This window comes from Homo sapiens, chromosome 1 (assembly GCF_000001405.40).
Source record: "Homo sapiens chromosome 1, GRCh38.p14 Primary Assembly".
NCBI lineage: Eukaryota > Metazoa > Chordata > Mammalia > Primates > Hominidae > Homo > Homo sapiens.
In genome coordinates, this window is record NC_000001.11 from 234,186,625 (window position 1) to 234,211,030 (window position 24,406).

The following is a 24,406-nucleotide window of genomic DNA, read 5'->3' on the forward strand; positions in this document are numbered from 1 at the left end:
GGATCTCAGATAGTCTGTTCTGTTGACACAACTTGGGTCTGATCATGGGTCCACCATCTTAATAATTATTTTAAATAACACTGGTAGTTGTAGGGACTCCGTAAAGTCAACATGCTGGACCAGGTATCCCATGTACATTAGCTCCTTTAAACCTCACAGCAACCTGCAGGGTAGGTATTATTGACATATTGATGGAATACTATGGGAAGAGGCCCCATAGTGAGCCTGAGACTTCAGAAATGCTCAGGGCTGTGGAGCTCCTTCCTTTTTGGTTGTTGTTGTTTGGTTGGTTCTGATGTGCTCTCACTCTTTGCTTTCTAACCTGGCTCTGCATCCTGTGTCTCTCTCATTCCTCCTTCCCCATCTCAGGTACTCTAGCTTTTCCTGCCCTCCCTTGCACAGCCAGACCTCCTGGCTCTGTGGATCCAGGGGAATTGGCCTGAATCACAGAGAAACTCCCTTATCAGGAAGGGGAAATTGATGATGGGCTCTTGTCAATGTTGATGCTTTCCATCTGCACCTCTTTAGGGATACCAGCTGCTGCCTGCCAGCCCCAGGTGATGTGAAAGGAACAAGCAACCAACCACCACACAGCGGTTTGTAAATTGTATACTATACCTAAAGTTCCCAACCTCCTAGGCGAATGGAAAACCCACCATTCTCACTTGCACAAATGCAAAGTTGTTCAAGAAGTGACTCAAATGGGGAAGAAGAGAGGATCCCAGGCACAGAAGGTATGAAAGAGCAGCTCCAAGGAGAGGGGGGAAAATGGCGGACAGGAGGCAGGACTAAATTGCAGCTTTCACTCGGATGGATAGAGCAGCATGTCGGGAGTCACATTGTGAACTTCTGCTCCAAGAACTACTGCAGGAATATACCAGGAAAGCCAAGAGAATCCACAGACCCTTTGAAGGAAGCGGATTACTCCCGCAGGACCCAGGAGACAGCCCAAATACTGTGCATGCCCAAACTGTGAAAGTGGGAAAGGAGGATCATCCGCCCATGAACGCGTGCCCTCACTGGGGAACCTGAAAGTCCAGATCATGGGAGAAGGATTTGAGCTGAGACAATGTAGACACCTGAGTGAACTACAGAGGTAGAGGAAGCAGCAGGAAAAGCCCTGCAGTCTCTCTGGGTCCCCATGTAAGCCATTTCTGACTTGTCTCACAGGGGTCCCTGGGGAGGGCTGCCAGAGGAACTGGGAAAAGACTACAGGGAGAAGGAAACCTCCAGCTGAACTTTGTAACAATTACAACCAGAGTTTCCTAGCCAGAACTCCGGGTAGGGCATGAATCTGATGTGCAGACTCAACAGGTGGGGAGGCATGAAAGGCCAGGCGCGGTTTCTCAACGCCTGTAATCCCAGCACTTTGGGAGGCCGAGGCGGGCGGATCACGAAGTCAGGAGATCGAGACCATCCTGGCTAACACAGTGAAACCCCGTCTCTACTAAAAATACAAAAAATTAGCTGGGCATGGTGGCACATGCCTGTAATCCCAGCTACTTGGTAGGCTGAGGCAGGAGAATCGCTTGAACCCGGGAGGCGGAGGTTGCGGTGAGCCAAGATCGGGCCACTGCACTCCAGCCTGGGCAACAAGAGCGAAACTCCGCCTCAAAAAAAAAAAAAAAGTCCTGCTTGCTTTCTCAGCCTGGAGGCTGGTAGCCTGGTGCAAGTTCTGAGCCCTGTTCACCCACTGCCTGGAAACAGACTCAGTGCTGGTGAGGTGGGGGGCAGGGGGCATGGTGGAAATGAGACTGGCCTTTTGGGTTGTGCGGGAGCTGGATGAGGCCTGTAACTGCCAGCTTTCCCCGACTTCCTGACAACCTGCATGACACAGCACAGGCAGCCATAATCCTCTTGGGAACACAATTCTATTGACCTGGAACCACACCCCCATTCCCCACAGCAGCCACAGCAAGCCCCTCCCAAGGAGAGTCTGAGCTCAGACATGCCTAGCCGTGCCCCCACCTGATGGTCCTTCCCTACTCACCCTGGTAGCTGAAAACAAAGGGCATATTCTCTTGGGAGTTCTAGGGCTCTGCCCACCACCTGACCCTCCCTTTACTACCACAGCTGATGCTCTCTCGAAAGCGCCACCTCCTGGCAGGAGGGCAACCAGCACAGAACTACAATAAACAACAATAATATAATTAAGGACCCTCCCAGAGTCCATTTCACTCCCCTGCCACCGCCACTGGAGCAAGTGCTGGTATCCATGGCTGAGAGACCTAAAGATAGTTTATATCACAGGACTCTATGCAGACATCTCCTAGTACCAGCCCAGAGCCTGGTAGCCCATCTGGGTGGCTAGATCCAGAAGAGAAATAACAATTACTACCGTTCGGCTCTCAGGAAGCCACATCCCTAGGAAAAGGGGGAGAGGAGAGTACTACATCCAAGGGAGCACCCCATGGGACAAAAGAATCTGAACAGCAGCCTTGAGCCCCAGATCTTCCCTCTGACATAGCCTACCCAAATGAGAAGGAACCAGAAAAATAATTCTGGCAATATGACAAAACAAGGTTCTTTAACACCTCAAAAAAGAAAAAGAAAAAAAACACTAGCTCACCAGCAACAAATCCAAACCAAGAAATGCTTGAATTGCCAGAACAAGAATTCAGAAGGTTGATTATTAAGCTAATCAAGGAGGTACCAGAGAAAGGTGAAGTCCGACTTAAGGAAATTTTTAAAAATATACGAGATATAAAGGGAGAAATCTTCAGTGAGATAGATAGCATAAATAAAAAATAGTCACAACTTCAGGAAATAAAGGACACACTTAGAGAAATGCAAGATGTACTGGAAAGTCTCAGCAATAGAATCAAACAAGCAGAAGAACGAACTTCAGAGCTCGAAGACAAGGTTTTGAAATAACTCAATCCAACACAGACAAAAAAAAAAAAAGAATTTTTAAAAAATTAACAAAGCCTCCGAGAAGTCTGGGGTTATGTTAAATTACCAAACCTAAGAATTGGCATTCCTGAGGAAGAAGAGAAATCTAGAAGTTTGGAAGACATATTTGGGGGAATAATTAAGGAGAACTTCCTCAGCCTTGCTAGAGAGCTAGACATCCAAATACAAGAAGCTCAAAGAACACCTGGGAAATTCATCACAAAAAGATCCTCACCTAGGCACATAGTTATCAAGTTATCCAAAGTCAAGACAAAGGAAAGAATCGTAAGAGCTGTAAGGCAAAAGCATCAGATACCTATAAAGGAAAACCTATCAGATTAACAGCAGATTTCTCAACAGAAACCATACAAGCTAGAAGGGATTGGGGCCCTATATTCAGCCTCCTTAAACAAAACAATTATCAGCCAAGAATTTTGTACCCAGTGAAACTAAGCTTCATAAATGAAGGAAAGATAGTCTTTTTCAGACAAACACACACTAAGAGAATTCATCACTACCAAGCCAGCACTACAAGAACTGCTAAAAGGAGCTCTAAATCTTGAAACAAATCCTGGAAACACACCAAAACAGAACCTCTTTAAAGCATGGGTCTCACGGGATCTATACAACAAAAACACACACAAAAAAACCGAGGTATTCAAGCAACAAATAGCATGATGAATTGAATAGTACCTCACATCTCAATACTAACATTGAATGTAAATGGTCTAAATGCTCTGCTTAAAAAATACAGAATTGCAGAATGGATAAGAATTCACCAACTAAGTGTCTGCTACCTTTAAGAGACTCACCTAACACATAAGGACTCACATAAACTTAAGGTAAAGGGGTGGAAAAAGATATTACATGTAAATGGACACCAAAAGTGAGTAGGAATAGCTATTCTTATATCAGACAAAACAAACTTGAAAGCAACAGCAGTTAAAAAAGACAAAGAGGGACATTATATAATGATGAAAGGCCTTAACAGGAAAATGTCACAATCATCCTAAATATACATGCACCTAATGCTGGAGCTCCCAAATTTATAAAACAAATACTGCTAGACATAAGAAATGGGATAGCAACACAATAATAGTGGGGGACTTCAATATTCCACTGACAGCACTAGACAAATCATCAAGACAGAAAGTCAACAAAGACATACTGGGTTTAAACTATACCCTAGAACAACTTGACTTAACGGATATTTTACAGAATATTCTACCCAACAACCACAGAATATACATTCTATTTCATCAGTGTGGCCGACTGCCACAGCTACTACTTGAGACCCTCATTGCAGCAATTATTACTGTTACTGCTTGAGACCGTCATTACAAGACTGAACAAAGGGATGAACGTAGAAATGGTAACAAAAAACAAAAGTAACTATTTTAAGGAAAGGCTAGCATGGGGAAGAAGAAGAGAAGAGAAAAAGAAAAGAAAAGGGCTCCCTGCTTCTAGTGAGCAAAGGCAGCTGCCGAGCTTCCACAGCCCTTCTTATATATTAGGTAACAAGAGCAAGAAGGAGGAGGTAATGATTGGTTAGCTGTTTACTTGCTCACAGGTTCTCATTATTGCTAACAGGCTTCAATTATGCCTAATCATAAGAAATACTTGTGCAGCCTCCAACACATCAGCACATGGAATTTTCTCTAAGATAGACCATATGATTGCCACAAAACAAGTCTCAATAAATTTAAGAAAACTGAAATTATGTCAAGTACTCTCTCAGACCACAGTGGAATAAAACTGGAAATTAACTCCAAAAGGAAACTTCAAAACCATGCAAATATATGAAAATTAAATAACCTGCTCCTGAATGATCACTGGGTCAAAAATAAAATCAACATGAAAATTTAAAACCTTTGAACTAAACTACAGTAATGACACAACTTATCAAAACCTCTGGGATACAAGCAAAGGCAGTGCTAAGAGGAAAATTCATAGCCTTAAATGCCTACATCAAAAAGTCTGAAAAAGCACAAATAGGCAATCTAAGACCACACCTCAAGGAACTAGAGAAACAAGAACAAACCACCTCCAAGCCCAGCAGAAGAAGAGAAATAACCCAGATCAGAGAAGAACTAAATGAAATTGAAACAACAACAAAAAAAAATACGAAAGACAAATGAAACAAAAAGCTGGTTCTTTGAAAAGATAAATAAAATTGATAGACCATTAGAAAGATTAACCAAGAAAAGAAGAGAGAAGATCCAAATAAGCACAGCTGGAAATGAAATGGGAGATATTACAACCAACGCCACAGAAATACAAAAGATCATTCAAGACTACTACTGTGAACACCTTTACACACATAAACTAGAAAACCTAGAGGAGATGGATAAATTCCTGGAAATATACAACCCTCCTAGATTAAGTCAGGAAGAATTAGAAACCCTGAACAGACCAATAACAAGGAGCAAGACTCAAATAATAATTTAAAAATTACCAACAAAAAAAAAAGTCCAGGACCAGATGGGTTCACAGCTGAATTCTATCAGACATTCAAAGAAGAATTGGTACCAATCCTATTAACACTATTCCACAAGACAGAGAAAGAGGGAATCCTCCTAAATCATTCTATGAAGTCAGTATCACCCTAATACCAAAACCAGGAAAGGACATAATAAAAAAAGAAAACTACAAACCAACATCTCTGATGAACATAGATGCAAAAATCATAAATGCTAGTGAACCAAATCCAACAGCATATCAGAAAGATAATCCACCATAATCAAGTGGGTTTCATACCAGGGATGCAGGGATGGTTTAACATATGCAAGTCAATAAATGTAATACCACATAAAGAGAATTAAAAACAAAAATCACATGATCATCTCAATAGATGCAGAAAAAGCATTTGACAAAGTCCAGCATCTCTTTATGATTAAAACCTTCAGCAAAATCAGCATACAAAGGATACACCTCAGTGTAGTAAAAACTGTCTATGACAAATCCACAGCCAACATAATACTGAATGGGGAAAAGTTGAAAGCATTCCTTCTGAGAACAAGACAAGGATGCCCACTCTCACTACTTCTATTCAACATAGTACTGGAGGCCCTAGCTAGAGCAATCAGACAAGAGAAACAAATAAAGGACATCCAGATCAGTAAAGAGGAAGGCAAACTGTTGCTGTTTGCTGATGATATAATCGTAAACCTAGAAAACCCTAAAGACTCCTCCAAAAAGCTCCTAGAACTGTTAAATAAATTCAGCAAATTTCAGGATACAAAATTAATGTACACAAATCAGTAGCTGTGCTATACACCAACAGCGACCAAGTTGAGAATCAAATCAAGAACTCGACCCTTTTTACAAATGCTGCAAAAATCAAATAAAATAAAATACTTTGGAATATACCTAAACAAGGTGAAAGCCATCTACAAGGAAAACTACAAAACACTGCTGAAAGAAATCATAGACAACACAAACAAATGGAAACACATCCCCTGCTTATGGATGGGTAGAATCAATATTGTGAAAATGACCATACTGCCAAAAGCAACCTACAAATTTAATGAAATTCCCATCAAAATGCTACCATCATTCTTCACAGAACTAGTAAAAACAATCCTAACATGTGGAACCAAAAAAGAGCTCACATAGCCAAAGCAAGACTAAGCAAAAAGAGCAAATCTAGAGGCATCACACTACCTGACTTCAAACTATACTATAAGGCCATAGTCACTAAAACAGCATGGTACTGGTATAAAAATAGGCACATAGACCAACGGAACAGAATACAGAACCCAGAAGTAAACCCAAATACTTATAGCCAACTGATCTTGGACAAAGCAAACAAAAACATAAAGTGTGGAAAGGCCACCCTATTCAACAAATGGTGTGGGGATAATTGGCAAGCTGCATATAGGAGGATAAAACTGAATCTTCATCTCTCACCTTACACAAAAATCAACTCAAAATGGATCAAGGAACTAAATCAAAGATCTGAAACTATAAAAATTCTAGAAGATAACATTAGAAAAACCCTTCTAGACATTGGCTTAGGCAAAGACTTCATGACCAAGAACCCAAAAGCAAATGCAACAAAAACAAAAATAAATAGGTGGGACTTAATTGAACTAAAGAGCTTCTGCACAGCAAAAGGAAGAGTCAGCAGAGTAAAGAGACAACCAACAGAGTGGGAGAAAAATCTTCACAACTTGTAATCCTACAAAGGACTAATATCCAGAATCTACAACAAACTCAAACAAATTAGCAAGAAAGAAACAAACAGTCCCATCAAGAAGTGGGGTAAGGACATGAATAGACAGTTCTCAAAAGAAGATATACAAATGGCCAACAAACATATGAAAAAATGCTCAACATCACTAATGATAAAGGAAATGTAAATGAAAACCGCAATACAATACCATCTTACTCCTGCAAGAATAGCCATAAATCATAAAAGCAAAAAATAATAGATGTTGGCATGGATATGGTGAAAAGGGAACACTTCTACACTGTTGGTGGGAATGTAAACTAGTACAACCACTATGGAAAACAGTGTTTTATTTAAAGTTTAATAGTTAAAGAAATAAAAGTAGAACTTCCATTTGATCCAAAAGTCCCATTACTGGGTATATACCCAGAGGAAAAGAAGTCATTATTAAAAAAAGATACTTGCATACGCAAGCTTATAGCAGCACAATTCGCAATTGCAAAAAATATGGAACCAGCCCTAATGCTCATCAATCAATGAGTGGATAAACACATTGTTTATGGAATACTACTCAGCCATAAAAAGGAAAGAACTAATGGCATTTGCGCTACCTGGATGGAGCTGGTAACTATTATTCTAAGAGAAGTGACTCAGGAATGAAAACAACAAACATCGCATGTTCTCACTCATAAGTGGGAGCTAAGCAATGAGGATGCAAAGGCATAAGAATAATACAGTGGAATTTGGGGACTCAGGAGAGAGGGTGGGAGGAGGGTGAGGGATAAAAGACTACAAATTGGGTTCAGCGTTTACTGCTCAGGTGATGCATGCACCAAAATCTCCCAAATCACCACTAAAGGACTTACTTATGTAACCAAATACCACCTGTTCCCCCTCAAACCTATGGAAATTTTTTAAAAAATTAATGCAATAAAAAAAAAGAAAAGAAAGAGCAGCTTCAAGACCCACAGAGATGTCCCCAAGACCCCTTAAAGGCTTAGAAACATATGTGGGTGTCAACATGAGAGACCCTCTAGGCATCTCCAGAATCTCTTCTACAGTGATATTGGAGGAGGTGATTCTAATAGTGAATCAGAATTCACCTCCAACACATCCTGGTCTTGGAATATTCCAATTCAAACATGGGTTTTTAACCCATGTTCCTGTTTCCTGTCCTGTTAGCCCACACTGCACCCAGTTATGCTGAGGAGCAATTAGGGCGACAGACAGATGACGGGTTTCTACATGTTTGGAAAGAGCATATATTTTGGGAGCCACTCTTGACCACCATACTTTCAGCATCCTCCAGGCAGCTTTACTGTGGATACCCCAAGACACTTCTTTCTGAGCAGGGCACATAGCTGTGGCTCATCAAGACTGCACTCAAGCTCTGGGAGAAAAAGGGAAACCAGTTGCACCCGGGAAGCAAATCAGCAAGTGGAAAGTAACCCAAGGACACGTGTGGACAGAACCCTTCCACTGTCTCCCATTTCTTTGCCCACTGCTTTCCAGGCTGTGCCTACCTAGGAGCAAGTATGACAGCCTTTGTCAAAAAAATCAGACCATCCCAGCCTCCTGTGTGCTCCAGCCACTTTGAGCCACAGAACCATCTGAGTACGGCATTGCCCTCATCTCTCGCCTCACTTCCATCCAATTCCACAGTCCAATTTCTTGATTCAAACTTGACTTTATTCAGGCTTATTTGCCCCCCTTCCAAATCACAAGCATTACTCTGGCTTTTAAAATCTAAATGTATCAAGGCTCAAGGCATGTGGGGTGGATTCCTGCCTATTCCACTGGCCTTATCTATTGCTCTATTCTTATAGCATCAAGCTCCTTTTCATTGTGTCCCCTTTGACTGGAAGGCCCTTCTCCCCACTCTTTAAAAGATTAGCTTATCTTCCTTTAGGTTTCGGTCCAATTTTACTTTCTCTAGAGACCATCCTGAAAACCCATTAATACCCCCCTGCAACCACGTACCTGCCACAGTGAGATAGAAAGTATGATATGGTTTGGCTGCATCCTCACCCAAATCTCGTCTTGAATTGCAGCTCCCATAATTCCCATGTGTTGTGGGAGGAACCCAGTGGGAGACAACTGAATCATGGGGGCGGTTTCCCCCATACTGTTTTCATAGTAGTGAATAAGTCTCACAAGATCTGATGGTTTTATAAAGGGAAACCCCTTTCACCTGGCTTTCATTCTCTCTCTTGTCTGCCACCATGTAAGACATGCCTTTCGCCTTCCACCGTGATTGTGAGGACTCCCCAGCCACGTGGAATTGTGAGTCCATTAAACCTCTTTTTCTTTATAAATTACCCAGTCTTGGGTATGTTTTTATCAGCAGTGTGGAAATGGACTAATACAAGGTGGGACTGGACTCCCCAGAGGAGGGGCTCAGACACTGGACCAAACTGAGAACTAGGGATGGGGCAGAAGCAGCTTTCCCTAGGACACGCCCACCAGTGTGTCATGTTAATTTACCATTGCCATGGCAACACCCAAAAATTACTGCCCCCTTCCATGGCAACAACCTCATGACCCAGAAGTTACTCCTCTTTTCCAAGAAATTTCTGCGTAATCTTCCCCTTAATTTGCATGTAATTAAAAGTGGATATAAATATGGCTGCAGAACTGCCTCCAAGCTGCTACCCTGGGCACACTGCCTGTGGGGTAGCCCTGCTCTGCAGTGAGCAGTACCTCTGCTGCTGCTGCTGCTGTACACTCTGCCACTAAAATAAAAGTTGCTGCCTAACACCACTGGCTCACCCTTGAATTCTTCCCTGAGTGAAGCCAAGAGCCCTCCTGGCACTAAGCCCCAATCTGGGGGTTTGCCTGCCCTGCATCAACATCACCCAACATCCTTCTTTTACTTGTTCACTGCCTGGCTCCCCACTAACATGTAAGCCCGAGGAGGGCAGATTCTGGAAATGTTGTCTGTATTGCTGTATCCTGTCAAAGACAAACATAGGCTGGGCATGGTGGCTCACACCTGTAAGCCCAGCACTTCAGGAGGCTGAGGTGGGCGGATCACCTGAGGTTAGGAGTTCGAGACCAGCCTGGCCAAGATGGTGAAACCTCGTCTCTACTAAAAAAATACAAAAATTAGCCAGGCGTGGTGGCACATGCCTGTAATCCCAGCTACTCCGGAGGCTGAGGCAGGAGAATTGCTTGGACCTGGGAGGCGGAGGTTGCAGTGAGCCAAGATAGTGCCACTGCACTCCAGCCTGGGCAACATAGCAAGACTCCATATTGGGAAAAAAAAAGAAAGACAAAGATAAACATAGCTGGACATTAGTTAAGGCAGTAAAAACAGATTTTATGCAATAACTGCTGTCAGTAAAGGAAAGAACTGAGCTTCAATCTGATTAATGCAGAGGTGACTGGGCATTTTAAAGGGTCTTGAGCAGAGTTAGGGAAATGAAAAATTATAAAAGTTATAAAAAGTGATAAGGGGAAGTTGATCCATGTGAAACTCATCTGGGTTTGCTAACTGGTGCATATCAAAGTTAGGCTCCTACCCACTCCCACTGAGGCTGGGAGACAGGGACCCTATCATGAGGTGTTGCTGGAACAAACAGTAAACTCTTTGGGCAGCCTTGAGTTTTCTCAGACAGGCACTTCAAGGGGGAGGGGAAGGCCATCTGGGGGATAAGGCTTTGTGCTGTTAGAAACTCTATTAGTGTTTGTTCAAGTCCTTCCAGGGCAAAGGTGAGGGCTAGTGGAGAAGAGGACTCAGAGGAACCTGGTCAAGGAGAGAGTTCGGTTAAGGAGAGTCAATCAATCTCCAGCACAGTGCCTGGTACATAGTGAGTGCTCATAAAACATTTATTGGACCAATGAACAAATGAGTGAATGACTAACGGGAGGATGAACCCCCTCCATGATCACTCCCTGATGTGGAGAGGGAGCAAGAAGGGTGCTGGGGGAAGTGAGAGGGGCAGTTCTCCTGCCCACAAGAACCCCAGGGTAGAGGGTGGCAGCTCAGCAGAGCTCAGCCCTCAAGCCTGCTCTCACTCCCCACGGAGGGCTGCAGTCCTTGCAAAGTGGGGCATAGCAGAGATGCTAGAATCTTCATTGACCTTAACTCAATAACATCAATTTGAGGGAAAAGAAATTTCAAAAGCACCAGCATCAGGTTGTAATGTGAGCATGTTTGCAGCAATAACACATCTGTTGTGTTGAAAAACCAACAAGAAAAACAGAAACACCTGAACAACACCTACATTTTTTATTCTTGACAAGATCAAATAGGTTTATTCCTCCAATAAGCTACACAAACTCTGGTCATAATTAGCACTTGGCTGTGAGAAGCCTCTGCCAGATTTTTCTGTCACCTGTGATATGCTGTAAACATAAAACACAGGATGGGCATCTGACAGATGGTTAACCTGTGAGTCTCAACTCTGCAGAGTGATTTTAGAGGAAAAGGGAAGGAAATACCTAGCACAGCAGTGAACAGGTGTTCTTGATTAGCACCTTTTGCTCAGGTAAGAAATGATTTCCTGTGAAGGCTTTTTGGTCATTTTCATGTTGATTATATGGATTATGTACAGTATTTCTTGACAAAGATGAAACATTTCCTAGGAAAAGTGTGCTGGATGAGAGTGCAGAACATTGATGTTTTGGGGAGGATTTCACTTTGAATTATTATGCATAATGCTGCTCTGAACATTTATGCACAAGTTTCTGTACAGACATATGTTTTCTTTTCTTATGGGTATATACCTAGAAGTGGAATTGCTGGGTAGTATAGTAATTCTGTTTACTCTTTTGAGGAAGTGCCAGGCCATTTTCCAAAGTGGATTTCCACCAGCAGTGGATGAGGACTGTAATTTCTCTACATCCTCTCCAACAGTTGCTATTGTCTGCTTTTTTTATTCTAGCCATTCTAGCAGGTATGAAGTGGTACCTCATTGTGTTTTTTTAAAATTAATTAGTTTTGTTCATCAACAATTAATAATTATATATATGTATGGGGTACAATGTGATGTTTTGATCTATGCATACATTGTAGAAAGATTAAGTCAAGATCGTTAACATGCCTCATTAACTTACCATTTTTTGTGGTGAGAATGTAAAGAATCTATTCTTTAGCAATTTTGAAATATATAATACATTAATATTAACTGTGGTCACCATTCCCTGAATAGCCAAAGATATCTTGAGCAAAAAGAACAAAGCTGGAGGTATCACACTACCTAATTTCAAAATATATTATAAAGCTATTGTAATCAAAACAGCATGGCAGCTGGGTGCAATGGCTCATGTCTATAATCCCGGAACATTGGGAGACCAAGGCAGAAGGATACCTTGATTCCAGGAGTTCAAGCCTAGCTTGGGCAACATAGTGAGTCCTTATTTCTACAAAAAAAAAAAAAAAATTAAAAACTGGCCAGTTATGGTGGTGCATGCCTATAGTCCCAGCTACTCTGGAGGCTGAGATGGGAGGATTGCTTAAGCTCGGGTGTTTAAGGCTGCAGTGAGCTATGATTGCACCACCACACTCCAGCCTGGGCAACAGAGTGAGACCCTGTCTCGAAAAAAAGAAAACGAAAAGAAAAAAAACAAAAGTCGTAATGGCACTGGCATGACGACAGACACATCAACCAGTGGAACAGGATATAAAGCCCAGAAGTAAACCCAAGTATTTATGGGCAATTTATTTTCAATAACAGTGCCAAGAAGACACAATGGGGAAAGAGCAGTCTCTTCAATAAATGGTGCTGGGAAAACTGTATGTTCATTCACATGCAGAAGAATGAAATTGGACCTTATCTCAGACATTATATACAAAAAAATCAACTCAAAGTAGATTAAAGACAAATGTAAGACCTGCAATTGTAAAGCTCCTAGAAGAAAACATAGGAGAAAGACTTTGTGACATTGGTCTGGGCAATGATTTTTTGGTTGACTCCAAAAGCATAGGCAACAAAAGCAAAAACAGTCATATGGGATTACATCAACATAAAAAGTTTCTGCACAGCCAAGGAAATGACTAACAGAATGAAGAAACAATCCACAGATTGGAAGAAAATATTTGCAAACCATACATCTGATAAGGGGCTAATATACAAAAAAATAAGTAACTCAAACAACTCAATAGCAAGAAAACAAATAATCCAATTAAAAAACGGGCAAAGGACCTGAACAGGCATTTGTCAAAAGAAGAGATACAAATGGTCAACAGGTATATGAAAAAATGCTCAACATCTCTATCAGGTAAATGCAAGTTAAAACCACAATGAGCTATTACCTCATACCTGTTAGAATGCAGTTACCAAAAAGGTGAATAATAGCACACGTTTGGTGAAGGTGCAGAGTAACAGGGACAACACACTGTTGGTGGGAATGTAAATTAATATCACCATTTCAGAAAAGAGTATGGAGGTTCCTTCAAATCTAAAAATAGAACTACCATATGATCCAGTAACCCCACTTCTGGGTATAGAGCCAAAGGAATTAAAATCACTACGTCAAAAAAAATGTCTGTGTTCTCATGTTTATCGAGGTTTTGATTTGCATTTCTCTGATGGCTAATGACGTTAAGCATCTTTTCATGTGTTTGTTGGCCTTGGTATATCTTCTTTGGGGAAATACTTCTTCAGATTCTTTGCCCATTTTTTAATTGGGTTGTCTTTTTATTTTTGAGTTATAAGAGTTCTTCACATATTCTAGATGCTAATTTCTTATTAGATATATAATTTGCAAATATTTTCTCCTATTCTATGGGTTGTCTTTTCAATGCTTTGATGGTGAGAAGCATGAGTTTGCTGTTGTGCTGAATGCCTTCCTTTCTGACAAAACTGCCTGATAGCCTTACCAGATGCCCTAATTCACCCATCATCTCTCCCAGGAGCCTCACATTTTCCAAAAAACTTCCACTTGGATCTGAGATGCACTTACATGGCCTTTTATTTCTTAAAATTAAGTATTTTTTTTTCCTAAAGGCACAATTTCCTTTCCCAAAAGGAGTCATTTCAAAGACACTATAATTTCCTGAATCTTGTCCAAAGTTTAAAACTGATATCCAAGAAGGAGTGGCCTCTTTATTTTACCTCCAGAAATGTCTCTGAAATGCAGGCAGGTCCCATCAATCTAAAATACTCTCGGCTTCATTGCAGCTGCAGCTGCGAGACAGACCTCGTCATTTTGGCTGTTTATGCACTTCTGGAGGTATATTTAGGTTGCTTCTATTTAGTGTTCCCAGAATAGCCATAGTTTTTTGTTTCTCTATCATCCTCTTAGTTTTATTCCTTCCTGTCCCAAACTGCGGGTGATATACAAGATGATTTCCAAAACCCTTTCTACCTCAGAAAGTCTATGCTCTTAAACAGTGTCCAGGCCCTCCTTTGCAGGAGCACAGTATATCATCTCTAGCCATAACCCACAGTCCACTAGCAAGCAGCAGAGAACAGTCACCAAATGCAGGAGAGGCCCCATGGCTCATAACTGAATTGGGCTCATGTACTCCAAATCCCAGTGTGATTTGATCACTACTATTTAAATTCATAGACAAGTATCCTATGAATTAATATGTAATGTGCTTGGATGAAGACAAACTTGGGTTTACCTATATCATTTCTGGGCAGGGCTGTAGCTAAACATTTTGCAGTGAAAGTGATTTTTGATTCCAGTTCATGCTAACAAGTTAAGCTGACATATTTGATAGCTTCAACTAGCTCCATGGGTGGTCGAGTAAAGTTTTTTGTGCTTCATGTTGTCCATCCCATTAATAAATCAAATAATGCTGCAGGTACCATGGTTACATGTGCCTTAAATTTTGAGAACGACACTGCCAGAGACAGATTTTCAAATTACAAACATCCTTCATATCTTAGATGATGTATTAGGTTGCTACAAATCCCAAATTAGAATCCTGCTATCAATAGAGCATTTAATGCCCACTCACTTTAAATAAGCAATCAAAGTTAAAATAAAAATCAGTGAGCTTCTCCTATGAGTATTTCCCACAAATTCAGCTCAGCAGAGAGCTCTTCTGAGGACGGTCCCCACCCCCAGGAGTGAAATACAAGACTTGAATGGGTTGATGCCTGATAGTTTTCTGCTGACGATGTTTTTGGTTTTGCGTGTGGTTTTTTCCATCTTTGTAGTTTTACAAAAAGCAATGGTTTAAAGAAGGGGTTAACAGGAGGTGGAGCTTGTAGTGAGCCGAGACTGCGCCACTGCACTCCAGCCTGGGCTACAGAGCTAGACTTCTTCTCAAAAAAAAAAAAAAAAAAAGAAGGAGTTAAGGTGTGTGCAAATGCAAAAGCAAAGACATGGAATCAACCTAAATGCCCATCAATGCTAGACTGAATAAAGAAAATATAGTACATATACACCATGGAATACTATGCATATAGTATAAAAGGAACAAGCTATAAAAAGGAAAAAGATCACGTCCTTTGCAGGGACATAGATGGAGTTGGAAGCCATTATCCTCAGCAAACTGATGCAGGAACAGAAAACCAAACACCACATGTTTCACTTATAAGTCGGAACTGAATGATGAGAACACATGGACATGTGGTGCAGAACAACACATACTAGGGTCTGTCGGGCAGTGGGGGTGGGAAATAGAAATAAAATAAAATAAAACCTTTTTTTAAAAAGGTGTGTGCAAATGCTCAGGGCCATGTTTTAAACAGTGGCAAAGAAAAAAAGTTGAGAGACAAGGGGGAAGTCTTGAATTGTGTCATAGTTTGTTCATTTGAGCTTTAACATATCAAAGCCAAATAAATTTACACCAAGAAGTATTTATATTGATAAACAATATGTAATGGGAAACTACAAACCCATTTGTAAACACCATATCTAAATAATAATTTCTAACCAGTGCGCCCTGAGGCTGATGCCTGTGAATGACGTGCTGAAAGGGATGAAAGCAATGCATTGAGGGGCTGTTTTGCTGTCTTTCCCACCACTGTGCCAGAACACAAGCCTCCTTCATGGGCGGGAGCCCTCCGCATTTCAAGCAGCTGCCATTCCAAGGTGCCAGGGCACCACAGAGATTGGCCAGGATGTGAGGAGATGGCCTGTGCACCTGTCTAAGACAGATAACAATACAATAGCCTCTTCACTCACACATACTCAAAGGAAAAGTAAAAAACCTTATGTCAGCTGAAATGAAGAGATTGGGGAGAGGACTAGGAAAGGCTGCAATGAGGCTGCAGCAAAGACAGAAGCATCCTAAAGAAGCAGCAGGAAGAAAAGGGAACTAACTGCTCCTTGCTGAAACACCAATAGAGAGGGGCACCTGGGTGGAAGAGCAACCATGACTCTCCCCAGCTCAGAGCTCTAGCTATGGATTCCTTCATTCCTGAAGGAATGGTTGCAGAAAACCAATACTGTCATTAAAAGCATCTCTCACCTTCTCCTTTCTCCATGTTTCATTACCAGCATGTTCTGAAAATTTATATTGCAAGAAAAAATAAAAAGGATGTGAGGAAACAAAATATTTAAAATATGGAAAATGGGAGTGATCATTTACTTTTGTTGCTTTAATAAATATACTTATAAAAAGACAAAGGGACAATGACATTAAAAGCACAGACTTAAAAGAGTTTTACATTTTAAAAAACAGAAATTGTCAAAATATTTTAAAAGTGAAAAGTTTCCTTCTTCTCTTACACATTCTAGTTCATGAAGACGTTTCCCATTTTTATTCTCATTTGTACCTGTTTACAAGAGACTCATTTTTTAGCCCCTTTAAACTATTCTTAAGCATCAAGAATGGTTTTGGCCAGGCGCAAGGGCTCATGCCTGTAATCCCAGCACTTTGGGAAGCCAAGGTGGGAGGATCATGAGGTCAGGAGTTCGAGACCAGCCTGACCAATATGGTGAAACCCCATCTCTACTAAAAATAGAAAAATTAGCCAGATGTGCTGGCATGTGCCTGTAATCCGAGCTTCTCAGGAGGCTGAGGCAGGAGAATCACTTGAACCTGGGTGGCAGAGGTTGTGGTGAGCCGAGATCACGCCACTGCACTTCAGCCTGGTGACAGAGCAAGACTCCATCTCAAAAAAAAAAAAAGAATGGCTTCAACCCAATCCCCCAGTGAACCGAATTTTAAAAGCAGACAAGCTTCTCTGTCAGAGAAGTCTCAAGGAAAAAATAACTCACTGTTGTTACTTATGGTAGTTAGAACACATGAAAACTTTTAAAAAGTGGAAGTTTATTCAATTTTTTTCTGAATATATATGAGGTAGGTATAGATAATATGTAGCTAACATACGTACACACATATGTTGAGTTATATGATCTACATAAGGGAATATGTAGTATGCATACGGACTATGTGGGCTGTCAAATGCATGCCTTTTTTCCTCTCTAGCATTTTCCCTGTGTTATTGAATAACTTATTTTCTTAGCTGTCTTATAATCTTTTGTGTAAATACACCATACTTTATTTCCCATTTCCCTTCTGATGAACATTTAGGTTATTTCCAGTGTATTAATAGCAATAAAACTTAGATGAACATCTTTGAAGCTTATCTATATTCACATCAGTTTATTTTTTAGAAAAAAAAATAGAAACGGTGAATAAGAGGCCAGAACTTTGATATATATTATCAACCTTCTAAAAAGATATATCAATTTTTATTCTCATCAGCAGTACATGGAATTTCTAAAGATAATCATCTTAAAAGCAAAACAGATTGACAAAAACCCAAAAACAAATTTGGTCTAGATCATGTTGAAAGGTTCCCATCAAGCTACAACATTATTATCTTGTTGATACACTCTGACATACACAAACCCAGCGTGATTCCCCTGCCAAGGACTCTGGGCTGGTCACAATTACGATGGCCCTAAAGCTTCACCTCAGATGCACCCCTGGAGCCCTGAGGAGCTCACCTTTGTCCTAATGCCTAAGGAGCTATCTGTTAGAAGGTAGTTTAGGAAGCCACAGCCAGAAACACTGTGGCACCAACTAGATAATTTTAGGAACAAACCATGTATACATTTAGCCCTCCAAACCCTGCCGGGAACTCTAGGGAATTATTGGGGATTCAGTTGACTTTTTGCCGTACACTAACAAATCCATCTTTGGGAAAAGGCATGACCCACAGTGGCTCAATCAGGAGCAGGACACACCTCTACACCTCATCTCTTTTTGCTTTCATCCAGCTTTAGCAGGGCCTTCTCTTTCTGCTTCACAGAAAGGAACAGGCTTTGCCTTAAGCAGGATTTTGGGTTGTTTGCTTGCTTTTGCAAAAAGCAAGGTGTGTTGCCCAAATCTGATTAAATTTTGGAACATCTCTCTCCCTTTTTCCTGCAGCTACTCTTCTGGTGACTAGTGCAATTTCTTATGAATACAACTGACTCTAAATGCCTAGTGTAAGCCAACAAATATGTGAAAAACAAGGGAGAAAGAGCCACCCTCAGTGCTTGTTGGTGGAAACACACAATTATTTCTTTGGAGCACTTTATATTTTTTTGGCCAATAGGGTCATTTGGCAATCTGTGATGTGCAAAATTTTCACTCCCATTCAGTGAGTTCCCAGGACAGTTCTAGTGGACTTGGGTGGGCCGCACTCTGAGGTAATGGTCTCAGCATGTCCTGCCTTTGGGGAGTATTACTGATCACAGCTCACCTTCATGATTACTAAGCAGAAACATAGCGCCAGGAACAGAATGGCTTCTTTCGGTGAGGTGGTAGCCCAAGAGACAGTGCTCAAAATTGCTTGAACCCGAGAGGCAGAGGTCGCAGTGAGCTGAGATCGCGCCAGTGCACTCCAGCCTGGGCAACAGAGTGAGACTCCGTCTCAAAGCAGAGACAATGCCTGAGAACAGCTAGCACCAGGAATGCTGGAGTTGTACTTGAACTCCCTCCCACTTGGAGAATCTAGGCTTGCTGGACTCCACTAGGGCTCTGACCTTTCTCTGAAGCCAGTCTGAGGGGCAGAAACAGCTAGAAGCCTAGAGAAAGGCATGAGGGCTTCCAATAAAAGAAACTCTGCCAAGAGTCAAACCCAGTGCTATGAGGAGTTGTTCTTTGAGATAGATGGAGAGAAGCGTGCACCAATATCCAGAAGAAAATTCCTCACTAGAGGCAAAGTAAGCCAGCACCAAGCCCTCAGGAAAGCAAACAGAGCAAGGAGGAGGGTTTTAGGAGCCAGAAATCCAGGGGCCTCCCCCTGCCTGAGCAGATAGCAGAAGACACTCCCCAAGAGGCTCCTCTTGCCTGAGATGACCAGGGGACCTGGGGGTGCAGGGGGTGGTGGGTGAGGGGTCCGTGTAGAGGAAGGAGGAGAAGAAGGCTATGTTGGGAGGAAGGACCTGCTGCTGAGGGCACGCTGTGGATGAGGAGGATGGTGTGGAGAGGGAGGACTTGCTGGTGAGGATGTTATAGGGATGAGGGGCACGTGGCAGCTGGGGGAGCTAGGAAATGCGGAGAGGCAGGGAGATGTGACAAGTACTTTTCAGCACCTCTCTGTGTGACACTCCATAAACCCACTGCACCACTCCTACATGGAAAACACTGCAGAGTTTTTGTGATCTTTGCAGGCATCTGGTGTTTATATGATGAGTGGAGCAGCAGAGCTGGGTCAGGCTGGGTCAGGCATTAAGAGGGCCTGGTTATTTCCTAGATCCACTGGCCTAAGCACGCAGTCGGGGAGGAGAGCCGGTTTCTCAGGTAGCAGAAAAGAAACCAGCGGGGGATGAGGGACAGTGTGAGGAGCAGGGTGCCCAGAGGCATCCGGCACCCAAAGGGTTCTCACTGTGCGGCGCTCCTTTGAGTCATGGCAGGACTTTCCTGGTTCCTGGGGGTGGGGGGGACTATTTCCAAGGGACGCTATTTCCCGGGGGGGGGCTATTTCCAGGGCTCACATTGCCTGCATCCAAAGACGTGCCCACCTTGACCCCTGGAAAAGTCCTGCTTATTTCTGCCCTAGTGACTTTCCACGCATTCGTTCACTCAACAATGATTATTGATATCCTGTTTACTACCAAGGTCCCCACCGTAGAGAGTTGACAGCCCAGCAGGAAGCTGTAGCAAGTATACAAATAACTTCAAAGCAAGCCAGAACATGATGGCTGCCTTCGGAGAGAGGCAAAGGGCTTCGCAGTGCGTAGGAGACCCCTATCTCAGAGATCAGGACTTCTGAAACTGGGTCTGCCCAACGTTGAGCCTCCGAGGACCTCATTGAACAAGACCTTGCCTGCAGGTCCCGGCCAGCCTGTGCTCAGGAATAACTAAGGAGTGGAGCCGCATCAACCTCCTTCCCAAATCCGGACGTCTTCCTCCGACTCAAGCCCAGCCTGAGGGCCATTCTCCTTGATTCACCCTTGGAAACAGACACCAGCCAAGGGAGCTGTCTCCTGGCGTTGACGAGGATCCGATTTAGGTCAGTATTCTAGTTCCCACTCCACAGAGGAATCTGACTGGAGGCCAGCTGTGGTCGATGAGTCATCCGGAACACAAGCAGGCAGCTATTTCCGAACTAAATGGCATCTGATCTCCCTCCTCACCTTGAGTCCAGTGCCCTGGTCTCCAAAAAAAGCTTCCTCTGAGATCAAGCCAGGGAGAGAGATACAGAGACCTGAGCAGAGGGGAGCCACCGTGGCTTCATCACTCCTGGTGCCATGCAGGCAGCAAAGGAACATCTGGAATAAAGCAGGCAATTCTAGAAGATTCTAGAATTCCAGGTCCTGTTAATAGACTGCCTCCATCCTTTACCTTTTTTCCTTCCATCCTTCCTTCCTCCCTCCCTCCTTCCTTTCTCCCTCCCTCTTTCCTGCTTCCTTTTTTCTTCTTTCCTTCCTTCCTCCTCAAGGATCGATTTAATTAACTGGAGACATGAAAGATAATGGTTAAGATCTTTGTAGGCAGTGACAATTGTAATACCTAGGACAATAATTTCATATACCCCAAATTTTAAAGGCTAACAAGACCTAGGAGATTACCTAGTTGGTGGTTTTCTAAACTTTCTTTTAGCCATGACATCTCTTTTATAAACCAATTCTAACATAGTACTCCAACAAATAAAAGTAGAGTTGCTTTGCAGAGACCAAGAAACAGTTTGGGCTGGGCATGGTGGTCATGCCTATAATCCTAGTGCTTTGAGAGTCCAAGGCAGGAGGATTGCTTGAGACCAGGAGTTTTAGACAAGCCTGGGCAACATAGTAAGCTCACATCTCTACAAAAGAAATAATTTTTAAAAATTAGTCAGGTGTGATGGTGCACACCTGTAGTCCTAGCTGCTCAGGAGGCTTAGGTGGAAAGATTGCTTGAGCCTAGGAGTTCAAGGCTGCAGTGAGCTGTGATCACATCATGGCACTGCAGCCTGGGCATCAGAGCAAGATCCTGTCTCTTTTATGAAAGAAAAAAAGAAAAGAAAAATATACAGCTGGAAAACTGCCAAAGGTGTCCAATTCTTTCAGGCCCATATCAGGAAACTGAGGCCAGAGGAGACTTGGTGGCCACTGCAGGTTGGCTGCTTCTTCCTGGAAGAGCTGGAGTTCAAACTCAAGATGTTGGCTATACTTTAAGGCATTTTCCATGCTCTGTCGGTCTCAAGGGAATCATAAGTATCACTTAACTCTAGCAAATGGATTGATGCCTTATTGGAATCGTAAAGTGGGACTATAGATATTTACATACCCCTGCATGGGAATGAATAGACCAGAGGCCCCTGTAGATGTCGTACATGTGAACCAGTCCAAGTAGGGCAACAAGAGGCTATTTGTACAACCCAGGCTGGAATTCTGTACCAGGAAGAAGAGTAACAAACCTCCAGAATCCGAGGAATCAGGTGGGCCCAACATAGCTACCCTCTTCCTGATGATCAGCCCAGGCCTGTCTGCTTTCTCATTCTAAAGGGCCATGGCTGGGTCCTTGCCCTGAGGGTCACGATTTCAATACAGCCCCTGGGTGGTCAGAGAAACTGGGCATTTTGACTCCTTTCTTATCTAGGACTCCTTTTTTACTGCCTTTCGCTGTGGTTTGCATGTGAGGAGTTGGGAGGAGGCAGGGAGTATAAAACTTACACTCCTGGCATGTGAGCTCTGCATCTGTTCACTTCTATATCTACCCAGCACACCCACTTCAGTATCCAGACCTCTGCTGAGATCACAAAACCCAGTCACTCTTCATAAGTCTGCCATACCAGACTACCATAAATTGTCATTAAATACCCATCCAATTCCCAGCCATATCAATGAAAAACAAACAAGAGAGTGGGGCTAGTGATAAAGAACAGGCTCCTATCAGAATAGACACCATCACACATCGCTGAGGAGATCCTTGGCTTTGATGAGCAAACTGTTGCACAGTACATTCTTAGAAGATGACAAGGAAGACCTGTTTAATGAGTAAAAGCTGAAAAAGTCAGCCCAGTTCCTTTTCCCAGCTCCTGTAATACTAAAGTCAAGACAGATAGGTGCCCAATGATCTCATCAAGATATTATCTCATGCTAACACCCTCAAAAGAGGAATAGGGGTCAGAGGTCAAATGACCCATCCTTTTGTCTGGATATTATTTATACAGTATTGTTGCCATTGATATGTCAGGGGTCTCAGCTCTCTTTTTTGGAAGAATTATTAGCACTTTTTTTTTGGAATGTGAGATTTGAGTTTTTGTGAGATTTGAGTTTTTAAGTGGGGCTTGGGCAATTTTGTAAGTATCCTAGAATAGGTTATTATGGCCTAACTCCAGTTAGGCCATAATAAAAAAAAAGCTCCAGTGAAGCTTTAAATTGTTGGAATTCTCAAAACAGTAGTGCATGCTTATACACCAGTACACCATTAGCTTCCTGGATAATTTTGTTTATGTGAGTTTTTAAATAGGCATTCCCACCACATCCCACTCCCAAAAAGAAGTGTTCACTTAAGGAATATCCATATTCATATGGTCAATTAGACAGAAAACTCCTGATTTGAAAAGGAGTATGGGAAGTTTGGTTTTTTGAGGGGTAGCAGGATAGGGCAGGGCAGCTGTTGAAACACAACAGAGCAGACAGAGCACATAGGACTGATGGGATTGAGTATGGAAAATGAAAAATAGAAACAGCATGGAGTGCTTAAAATTAAAGGGAAGAAGTTGAGATGGCAATTAGTAACTCCTCTTCGGCAAGCAGAAGTTAACAGACATGAGGAGGTGATGACCTCCCAAATATCAAAAACTCCTGGGGTAAGCTGCATGTGAAAAAAAAAGGATTTAGTGATCTTTAACAATATTTGTTAACTATTTGACTCTGTACACAACATTGCATTAAACAGAAAGTAGAATTTTAAAAACAGACAAATATTTATTGAGCACTTACGATATGGTTTGGCTGTGTCCCCACCCAAATCTCATCTTGAATTTCCATATGTTGTGGGAGGGACCCACTGGGAGGTAATTGAATCATGGGGGCAGGTCTTTCCCATGCTGTTCTCATGAGAGTGAGTAAGTCTCATGAGAAACGATGGTTCTATAATGGAGAGTTTCCCTGCACAAGCTCTCTCTTTGCCTGCTGCCATCCACGTAAGACATGACTTGCTCCTCCTTGCCTTCCAGCATGATTGTGAGGCCTCCCCAGCTACATGGAAATATAAGTCCATTAAACCTCTTTTTCTTCCCAGTCTTGGGTATGTCTTTATCAGCAGCATGAAGATGGGCTAATATAGTAAATTGGTACCAGTAAAGTGAGGCATTGCTGAAAAGATACCCGAGAATATGGAAGTGACTTTGAAACTGAGCAATAGGCAGAGATTGGGACAGTTTGGAGGGCTCAGAAGAAGATAAGAAAATGTGGGAAAGTTTGGAACTTCCTAGAGACTTGTTGAATGGCTTTGCCCAAAATGCTGATAGCAATATGGACAAAAAAGTCCAAGCTGAGGTGGTCTCAGATGGAGATTAGGAACTTGTTGGGAACTGGAGCAAAGGTGACTCTTGGCATTTTGCCCCTGCCCTAGAGATTTGTGAAACTGAACTTGAGAGAGATGATTTAGGTTATCTGGCAGAAGAAATTTCTAAGCAGCAAAGCATTCAACAGGTGACTTGGGTGCTGTTAAAGGCATTCAGTTTGAAAAGGGAAGCAGAGCATAAAAGTTTGGAAAATGTGCAGCCTGATGCAATAGAAAATTTGTAGCCTCAATGCAATAGAAAGGAAAATCCCATTTTCCGGGGAGAAATTCAAGCCAACTGCAGAAATTTGCATAAATAACAAGGAGCTGAATGTTAATCACCAAGACAATGGGGAAAATGTCTCTGGGACGTGACAGAGGTCTTCACAACAGCCCCTTCCATCACAGGCCCGGAAGCCTAGGAGGAAAAGATGGTTTCCTGGGCCAGGCCCAGGGTCCCCATTCTGTGTGCAGCCTAGGGACTTTGTGCCCTGCATCCGAGCTGC

At 42.4% G+C, this 24,406-nt stretch overlaps 1 protein-coding gene across 1 annotated transcript in view, besides 2 other annotated features; it reads left to right on the forward strand.

Moving 5' to 3' along the window:
- SLC35F3 (solute carrier family 35 member F3) overlaps window positions 1-24,406 on the forward strand; it is a 419,836-nt gene that overhangs the window by 281,949 nt on the left and 113,481 nt on the right. The gene's annotated exons all lie outside the window — the stretch shown is intronic.
- Window positions 1,629-2,340: an enhancer, noted in NCBI's record as "NANOG-H3K27ac-H3K4me1 hESC enhancer chr1:234323999-234324710 (GRCh37/hg19 assembly coordinates)". NCBI's record gives its function as "activates a minimal SCP1, AML or CMV promoter by ChIP-STARR-seq in primed H9 embryonic stem cells {active_cell/tissue: H9 hESC(primed)}" and the evidence as "EXISTENCE:reporter gene assay evidence [ECO:0000049][PMID:30033119]".
- Window positions 20,339-20,633: an enhancer, noted in NCBI's record as "tiled region #1313; HepG2 Activating non-DNase unmatched - State 10:DNaseD, and K562 Activating non-DNase unmatched - State 20:ReprD". NCBI's record gives its function as "activates a minimal TATA promoter and a strong SV40 promoter by Sharpr-MPRA in HepG2 and K562 cells {active_cell/tissue: HepG2 | K562}" and the evidence as "EXISTENCE:reporter gene assay evidence [ECO:0000049][PMID:27701403]".